The following is a 10,100-nucleotide window of genomic DNA, read 5'->3' on the forward strand; positions in this document are numbered from 1 at the left end:
ATGCCTGGAGGGGTGTTCCCACAGGATCTGAGGCAGACTATGTTCCCAGGAGGCAGACCAAGATGTCATTATACAGGATGTTAGGAAGTGCCCTTGAGGCCAACGCCTGTGGAAAGGGATGATGGAAGCAGGAGTGGGTTAAGGGAGAAGTCCAGCCACAATGCAAGCTGACAACAGCTTCAGCGACCCCTGCTCCATGCAGCTAAATGGCTTGTGGGAGCTGACCTGTTTAGGGCCCAAATGGTCAGACCTTTATGCCCTTCCATTTACCTGCACATTGGCCCATCTTGGGAAGGGCACAAACTTGAGTGAGGTGGCTCTCTGCAGCTGATGCTGTCCCCAGCTGGAGGCTACTTGCTGACTGTTCTCCCTGCAGCGAGGCAGCAGGTCATTTCTGGAATGGGGCTGGGCAGCAAATAACTGTGTCCATCCACTAGTGGAGGTGACTCACAAGCCCACTCGTGTTCACCCCCAGCACACAATCACAAGAATAGGCACAACACTGCCCCTCACCAATGCTGTTTTCTCTTTTAGGGGATGGAGAGTCAGGGACTGGACACATATACTTAAAGAACCTACAATTTAATTAATGCTTTAATGTTTAATATTAATTCAGAACTTTTGTCATTGGTTTATCCTTAGTTAGAAGTAGATAGTCTATCCTACTTTTTAAGCTTATTTTTTTCCCATTTTCATTTAGTGACAGTCATTGTACTAAGTACCTTACATGCATTACCTTATTTAATCCATATAAAAACCTTATGAGAGAGATAATATTATTATTCCCCATTTTACAGATAAGGGTTAGAGAGTTGGAAAAACTTGCCCATAGTGAAATCATATAGCCAGTATTTGAACCAAAGTCTCTCTGACTCCAAAGCTCAAACACTTAACCACTCTACTAAAGCCAACTATGAAAACTTTCACATTACCCTTTGATGGACCATAGCTCATTCACTCAACAGTGTTTTAATAAACATGCCCTATTCCAGGCTCTGTGCTGTGTTGGTATTAAAGATTCAACAAAGAAACCTCTGATAGGAAGCATATGTGCATGCGTTCTTGTGGGTCATTCTTCCTGACTGTGTGTGTGCGTGTATGTGTGTGTGTGTATTTGTGATAATCTCAAGAGATTAATGCAAATTGTGAGGACCTTCGTATATTTCTGTGAAAGGAAAATAAAAATCTCAGGACCCCAAACTCACTATGGAAAGGGAAAGTTAAGCTTAGGAGCTAAGCCACCCAAAACTGCCTTCCATTTTGTTCCTAAACAGATAACTGCAAAGATAGAAGGCCACATACCTTCCAGGGGGACTCCCTCACAATTTCTTACAAAGAAATTCCTTGTGGGCCCTAAGATCTTTACCCTAAAACAGAGTTCTGTTGGATTTCACCCCATGTAAATTAACAGCTTATCTTCACAGGTATGGGACAAAGACAGGACTAGGAGTCATCCCTCTGCTCACTTGAGACAAATGCATATTTTACTCATTAACTATTCTATGTTTCTTTTATCTTATGTAAAAAATGCAAGTTCATTGAGCATGAGACAAATGCATATTTGACTGTTCCTCTATCCCCTCCTTTCACACATAAAATGTGGATTCAGTGAATGCTCATCAAAGCCTCAAAAGAATGTAACTGTTTGCCCCTATTCTCTACCCTCCCTTTTCCTTTCCTCTTTCCCTTACTGCCCACTCTTTCCCCCTTAAATAGTGAAGTCCTCAAACCCTCTTTGGGAATTTTTGCACAGATCACAAATGTTCCTGTGATTTATGTTCCTTTTTCCCAGGCACATTCTCAACTATGGCACAATAAACCTCTAAATTGATTGAGACTTGCCTCGGTCATTTTCTTTGGTTTACATTTCCTAGTAACTCAATTCACTGTTTTCAACTTAACAGGCTAAAAGAGATGCTAAGAGAATGCCTGCAAAAGAAGTCACCATTAATGTAACAGATAGCATCCAACAGATGGACAGAAGTCGAAGAATCACAAAGAACTGTGTCAACTAGCAGAGAGTCCAAGCAGAAGGGCAGATGGACTTCTTCAGTGTCCTTCACGGCACTGGATCCCATCAAAGAACCTTGAAGAAGTGGCTGCCCCTTGCTGGACCTGAATTCTACTGAGTCCCTGGCAAGACTGTCTTACCTGGCAGCAAACTGCTGCCTGATTTGTTGGGACCTTCTGAGCCTTCTACTTATCATGTAAATGTATTGGCACAGTGCTTACATATGTTAATAAACTGCAAATGTGCAGTTCAGTTTGTCTCTTTGCAACTCCTGTAATACGGTCTGGTGTAAAAGTAGTGAGTTAAAGCTACAGGTCAGTTTATGAAACAGAAAAGTAGGAATGCATTTTCTGGGTGAAAGAGTCACACCTTAGTGCTATAACTCTCCTGCCCATGATAGTGTATTCTGTTTCAGGCAAGCTTATTCTTTCCTTCTTTCATTTTAAATATTGTCATTACAAATCTTACCAGGTTCACTTAAAAGCTGGCTTTCATCCAACTCTAAACCCACATATTGAAAAAATCAAGGTACAGGAAAACTCCTTGTTATCCTTGTTTCCTTAGCTTGGTATGAGACAGATCGGATCCAGTTTCCCATGCACCAACCCACTGCCCATGGCATGTCTTTGGGAGGTGTCTGTGAAGCAGTCATACCTGCTCCTCATCTGCCTGGAAAGTCCTCCTATTCCAGTGTCCATGTTGGCCTCCAGTCCTTAATGTCACCATGCTTGTGGCCAATGCATCCAAATAAGGATACCCCTCAGGGCTCAGCTAGACATTGCAATTTTGCATAGCTTTCCAGTTCCCTTTGCTTGTCTTCTTGACTGTCTTCCCTCTCTATCGGGGTCACTTGCAATTGTTAATCAAAGATTGAACACTGCGTAGGAGAGGGAGATGATCCAGAGACATGTGGCAGCAGGCATGGCTTCCCCTTGGCCTCTCTGTACACTGCCCCAGGACTGTCATTTTGGCATCTGCAAAGGAATCACTTTAGAAAGCCAGCACCTGGTTGATGTGTATTCATACTGACATTAGATTGATGTGCACTGCATTAGAAATGAGGTAGCTGACACAGAAAAAGGATGTTTTGATAGGAATAATTTTCTAGTATGTCTTGAAACATGTTCATCTGGAAGTATTTTCCTCCAAAGTAATGTAGCATGATTTTTCAAGGATTGTTAACATGCCTGGGATTGGGAAAGATAGGACTAAAGTTGTGCCAAACTATATCAATAAATTCCATGTTTAGCAGAAATAGGCAGCCTATTGGTGTTATGTTTATGTAACATAGTCCAGAGAACTGACATGCAGGTCAAAAGTCAGATACGCAACCTCCTTATCTGCTAACTCTGTTATTCTTCAAACACAAGTGGGTAGTGTCATTTTTCCTTCCTTCCTTCCATTGGCAGATTGTATATTTATTCACAAAACATTAAATGTCCATCCTGTGCCAGGTACTATGCAGATGTTGAGGGATTTGGGGTCTGGTTAGTCGTGACTATCTATCCTGAATCTAACAGTGACTTCATAACTAGGAGACTGAATTAGACCCTTAAGGTATAGTGTGTGTTGCAAATCACTCTGCAATGGAAACTTTTATATTCAGGGTAGGTTTGTGTCTTAAACTAGGTGTTCTAATCAATGTACAAGACTTTACCATACACGCAACTATAGTTTTTCTAAACCTTCATCATTTTGTGATTCTTTGAGAAAGGGCTTTTAGGAACTTTATGTTCTAAAAAATGTTTTTAACAATAATAAGATAAAAGAAAAACCTGTGATTCATATGTCCCCACTGGCATTACTCAGCAGGAGCCCCCAGCTGCCAAAGGTTGGCAGTGATCCTGCAAGTTCAAGGGCTCTTTCTCCCTGGGGATGTGCTTTGTGGCTTCTCTTTACAGCTTTGTTTCTGCATCAGTTCACTGCTGCATGTTGTTTGGAATTTATCACCTTAAGAAAGTGTCTCTGTTTTATATAGAAACACTTTCTCACTTACAGGGGAGAAGGAAATGCAGGGCACATGATCTGGCCCTCCCCAGAACAATCTGGATTTCACGGAGACAGCAACCAGAAGTTAAACCATGTGACTAAAAATGCATCTGGCTACTTTTTCATGTATGTATGAGACAGAAACTAATCCTTACTATCCTATTAGGATACCACTTTTCATTGCAAAGTTTGTGTCAATAAAGTCATTAATTTTAAACATATATGGGCAGTTACAGAGAATCTTTACTGAAACCTTAAATTTGTATGCAGAACTATTTAGACTAGTTTTTAAAAATGAAGACCTTTTACATAAGTGAACCCTGTGAATCCTCCAAAAAGCCTTGTGAAGTAGGTAAGAAGAATGCTATTAGCACCAATTTACACTTATGGAAATATTTATAGTCCAGTCAACTAGTAACTTTTGGTGCAGAAATTCAAGTGGGGGAAGCCTGTCTGCAAATTTAGTTCTTTTCCTGCCACCACATGGTGCCACCATGGCAAGAAGGTCTGGTGTAACTGAGAGATGAGGCCATTTAGAGGGGAATTGTCATGGAGCCTCAGGCTGGGCTGAGTCCAAGTCTAAAAGGATAATTTGGGTGATTGGAGGGGGCTAGAGAGAGAGGATTGAAGAGGGCTGGTAGTGAAGACAGTGATTGGAAAGGGCCAGTGAGTTCTCAGGGAATTTGGTTCTGGTTCAGGCTCACTTATCCCTCCAGAGAGAGTGACCTTGACCTGGTGTGAGAGGTCAGAACACTGAGAGGGACTTTATAATTCAGAGAAAATAGAAATTGCACCCCTTGGGATATCTGCTTAGACCTAAAGGTAAGGGAAGCCAGGGACCTCCCACGTTGCTGCCAATGTCCTGAGCACAGCTTGGATGTACAGGTAAGAGACAGTAGCCCCTCACCCTTTATTCATGGCCCACTTTCACAGTGCTTTCCACAACCCACCCCCACCTCCCAGGGTACCTGAACACACCCCCGTTTGCACTGCCTGTCTGAGTCCTGCTAACCTGCATCTGTTTTTGATCCTCACCAGCCAGACTTGCGGGCTGCCCCATGTGACACTGAAGTGCATCCCATTCACATTTACTGCTCTAAGCACGGTTCACAACACTGGAAGCTCCTCTGCTGAAATCAGGTGACAGAGCTGCTGTGTTTAGCCGTCATGGTGTCAAAACTTACTTAGGAATTTCACATAAATAGCCAGCTCTGGCATAGACTCCTACTTTAGAACTCCAGTATCCATCCTTCTCTTCTTTCTTAGTTGAGCACATGTCCACTTAGAACAAACATTACACTTTCCAGCCTCCCTTGCAGCTAGAAGTTGCAGCATGATTAAGTTCTAGATAATGAAATGAAATAAAAGTGAGGCATAGAAGCTTCCAGGAAGTCAGGCTCTTTCTTTCCCCTTTTGCTTCCTGGTGTGCAGAATGAGGAGGTAATGGCTGGAGTTACCTCAGTCCATTGGGCCATAAAGCAACTTCGAGAATGAAAGCCATGCCAAGATGAGCAACAAGTTAGAAGAAGCATGGGTCCCTAATTCCATAGAGTTTCATGAGTCTTGGACTATATACCACAAACCTCTTTTTGTGGGAAAGAAATATACTTTACTTCATTTAAGTTGCTGTTTCAAATGATTACTCACAGCCAAAACTGATTCTTTTTCTTTTCAAGTCTGAGAAATTGAACAAAACTAATTCTAATTTGTATGCATATACTTCCATCTTTCAAAAAATTGGAAGATCGCTCACCCTTGGGGCCTTGGCTGCTTGGCCACATCTGGCTGGAGCTGATGAGTCTGCATTAGCTGGAGCTGGGAGGGTCTCCAGATTGTGATGGTCGCTACCACTCATTGTGGCTTACACATGGTAACCTCCCCATTTCTGTTACCTGCCAGAACCCAGAGACATTTGAGCTTGTAACTCCTGCTCCACTGTATGTTCCCAAACATGTTGTTTTTACACTCTTTTCAGGAGTCATTGAGATATACAAGGTCCTTTTCTCCTGTTTCACCAGTCTGGGAAGTGGCCAATCTCAGGAGAATTTTCTGAGCAAATTATGAATATTACCTAATATTTAAAATCATGCATTCACTTGCTCATTTATTTAATCCAAATGTATTTACTGAGACTCTTCAATGTGCCAGAAGTTGGGATGTGGTGAGAGATACAACATATCTGGTCCCTACCCTCACGGAGATGGCAAAATAGTAGAGGAAACAGAAAATAACGACATAAAGAAATAAGTCATTACAGTAACTTAAGATGGGGATAAATGCTGAAAAGAATGTTAATAGGAGAATGAGCTGGACGGAAGCAGGAAGGGAGCAGGAGACCATTTAGGAGGCTACAGCTATAGTCCTGGGAAGAGATGTCAGTGCAAGGAATAGGGTAATGGTTGCAAAGACGGATGAAAATAGGTGGATGCTGAGAACATTTTGGAAATGGAAACATTGGGACTTGCTGATGGACTGGGTGTAGAAAGTGAAGTCAAGGGAGAAATCAGGGTGATTCCTAAGTTTTTTGGTTTGAGCAACAGGGTTTTTGGCAAGATAGGGGAAAACAGGGTGGGAAAAGTTTTTTTTGGGGAGGCAGTGAAAATCAAAAAGAACCATTTTGGACCCATTAAGTATGAAATAACCAAGGGGAGGTGTCCAGTAGGGAATTGGATGTACGAGTCTAAAGTTCAAGGAATTGGTCAAGGGTAGAGCTGTGCATTTGGGGGTCATCAACACATGGAAGATATTTAATGGCACAGGAGTTAGTTCACCTGATGAGAAGCTACTGAGGAAAGTCTAGGGCTGTGCCGGGAGACACCCCAACATTCAGGGAGTTGGTGGTGGAGGAAGAGTCAGCAGAGGGTACTGAGAAGTGCTGAGGCAGTTAGGAAGAAAACAGGGAGCTCACTTACTGAAGCCAACACTAAAAAAAAATGTTTCATGAAGGGAGAAATGGTCAGTCACGGTGAATGCTGCCAAAAGGTTAAATCACGTGAGAACAGAGATGTGACTCCAACTAGCACCATGAAGGTGACTGGTGATCTTAACAAGAACAATTCCAGCAGAGAGGTGGTCATAGAGCCAGACTACAGAGGATGATGACGGGAGGGGTGGTGAGGAAGTGGAGGGAATGAAAAAAACTGTCTTTTGAGAAATGTTGCTATGAAACAAAGCAAAAAGAGGCCAGCAATTGGAGAAAGAGACGGGTCAAGAAGAAGTTGTAAAACGTGGGACATACTAGAGTATGTTTCTCAACAATTGCAAGGATTCCTTAGGGTGAGGTTGAAGCTGGAAGGGTAGGGGCATTATCCACGGAGTAAAAAAGTCCTTGAGGAAGTGAGAAGAGAACAGATCCAGGGCGCAGGTAACCACATTGAAATTTAAAACCTCTGTATGATAAACATTCACATAAAGATGAATAATAGTCTATTAGAAGATATCTACAGCCCATGTATCAAAGAGTTAGTATAGTGATATACATTAAGAAAAATGAGAATTTCATAAGCAAAAGACAAATGACCAAGAGAAAATAACATGAACAGGCAGGAGGAAAGTTGAATGGCCAAGAAAAATACAAAAAATCCTCAGTGTCATCAGTAATTAGGCAAATTTGGGTTAAAAAAAGAGATGCCACTTTTTAACCTATCTGATTAGCAAAGTTTTTAAAATGTGATAATATCAGTGTTGGGAAGGGTGTGGGAAAGAAGTAATGTCAGACACTGCTGGTTGAAATAGAATTAGTGATACTATGTTGGATGGTGTAGGGCAGACAAAGCTTTACCTCTACCTTCATAGGAACCCCAGCAGGGCCTGAGAATTAGATTGACACAAAACAGACTAGCAGGAGAGGAACATACAGATTTACTTAATTTTAAGTTTTATGTGAGTTGAGAGACTTTATAAAGAAACGACGGCCCAAAGAAGTTGCAAAATCTCAATGCTTTCCTACTATGTTGGACAAAGTGAGGCAATTGTGAAAAAGTAATTAAAATATACAGGAAAGCTAAAGAAAGATAAGAGTTGTTTTAACAAAATTCGGTTGTTTACAGAGAATTGTCTCTGTCTCTGGTGATAAAGATATTTCTTTCCTCCTGGTACAGAGAGGGCATCTTTTACATGGGAGTTTTATATGCTTTCAGGAAAAAAAGGGAAGTCAGAAAGTTCTGCTTGAAGAACTGAGCACGTTGGCTCATACCTGTAATCCCAGTACTTTGGGAGGCTGAGGCAGGAGGATCACTTGATGCCAGGAATTTAAGACCAGCTTGGGCAACATAGCAAGACACCATCTCTACAAAAAAAAAAAAAAGAAAGAAAGAAAGAAAGAAAATTAGCCAGGCATGGTGGTATGCACCTGTAGTCCCAGCTACTTGAGAGGCTGAGGCAGGTGTATCACTTGAGCCCAGGAGATCAAGGCTGCAGTGAGCCAAGGTCGTGCCACTGCCCTCCAGCCTGGGTGACAGAGTGAGACTTTGTCTCAAAAAAAAAAAAAGTTCTGTTCGCACCCACTTTTTAAAAGTGCTTTTAGCTCAAAATAACCCTTATGCCAAAATGGCATATTCTGGAAAAGCATATTCTGCCACTCTTCAATGTCAACTTAGCCAACTTATTCAAATTTAAAATGTGTATATTCTTTGGCCAAACAATTCCATTTTTAAATATATACCTGTCAAGGACTGAACTGTGTCCCCGCCAAATTCAAATTCATATGTTGAAGTCCTAACCCCCAATACCTGAGAATGTGACTGACTGTATTTGTAAATAGTGTCTTTCAAGAGGTAAGTAAGGTAAAATAAGGTCATTTGGATGGGTCATAATTCAATATGACCAGTGTTCTTATAAGATTAGAAGATTAGGACAGGCACACACAGAGGGAAGACCATATGAAGACAAAAGAGAAAATGATCACCTACAAACCGAGGAGAGAGGCCTCAGAAGAAACCAACCTTGCCTCAGACTTCTAGCCTCTAGGACTATGAGAAAATAAATTTTTGTTTTTCAAGCCCACCGGCCTGCAATATTTTGTTATGGCAATCCTAGCAATCTAATACAATACCCTAGAAAAATATCTGCACGTTTTTATGAGGCAGATATTTGTGGGACAGGACTCAGACTTGTAGAACTTGATTCAAAGGAATCAGAATGGCAGAGGACAAAAGAGCACAGGACTACAGCAGACACCACTGGCTCTACCTTCCCTTCAACCCCTTTACTGCACCCATGCTGACTTCTAACTGAGGCACCCGCTGTCTGTGGCCTGAAGTCTTTATCTCACCACTCCCATGGCAGGAGTTGCCAGGGCATTGGCGCTATTGATGCTTATTCATTCCTATCCTCATCCCAGCACCTGTCAATCAGTCAATGACTGATGAGAGCTCCTTCAACCTTGGGTGGGGTAATGCTGAGATACGTATTTTACGCAAGCTCCTAGAGTTTTCCCAGGTGTATTAAGTTCCAGTTACCCAGCAGGTAGCTGGTTTAATAATGCATTCCTTTACTGGATGCTTCCTTGATCAATCTCCAGGGTAGAGTCATTGTTGTAGTTGCAGGCTTCTATATAAACAGCATCATCTCTCTTGTCTTTCTTTTTTATTATCATAGTCAAACATCATCTTTTCCACAACTTGGTTTCCACCAGTAGATAGTCCTCCACTTCCTCCCTAGCATGAGATATACATCCCACTGCCACTGGTCTATAAATGTTCTGTTTATGTATATTGTACCACAATAAAAGATGTTAAGACCAATAAATAAGTAAATAAGTGTTCTGTTTTGCTACAGAGGGAATCTCTGATTTATCCCAGATATAAGAAGTTACTTGGAAAGGAGCCCCAAGAGATATCTTAACAGAAGTCACAAACTACATGCTTTCAGGGGACAGGCAGGTGATATAAAGGGATGCTGTAGGGCATTGTGAGTAGTAGGAGCTGGGATGAGAAGGAAAATGCATACACACTTAAGAGCACCACACAGTGAGCCTGTCACTCTCCCTGATGAAGAAAGATATTTGCAATAGCTGACTCAACTAAAAATTGTTAAGATGGCACTTCAGGAAATGTGGTGCCCAGTACAGATTTACTGACTAATTGAGATTTCATAATCA

The 10,100-nt window shown here is 41.7% G+C and overlaps 1 protein-coding gene across 3 annotated transcripts in view; it reads left to right on the plus strand.

The window, feature by feature from the left end:
* The window catches only part of BAALC (BAALC binder of MAP3K1 and KLF4), an 89,581-nt gene extending 85,360 nt beyond the window's left edge, over positions 1 to 4,221 (plus strand). For all 3 annotated transcript variants that reach the window (NM_001364874.1, NM_024812.3, NM_001024372.2), the window contains one exon: positions 1,905 to 4,221. In NM_001364874.1, coding sequence (NP_001351803.1) covers positions 1,905 to 2,015 — 111 coding nt within the window. In that variant the 3' untranslated portion in view covers positions 2,016 to 4,221. The remainder of the gene's footprint in view (positions 1 to 1,904) is intronic.
* The last annotated feature ends 5,879 nt before the right edge of the window (positions 4,222 to 10,100 follow it).

This window comes from Homo sapiens, chromosome 8 (assembly GCF_000001405.40).
Source record: "Homo sapiens chromosome 8, GRCh38.p14 Primary Assembly".
Lineage (NCBI taxonomy): Eukaryota > Metazoa > Chordata > Mammalia > Primates > Hominidae > Homo > Homo sapiens.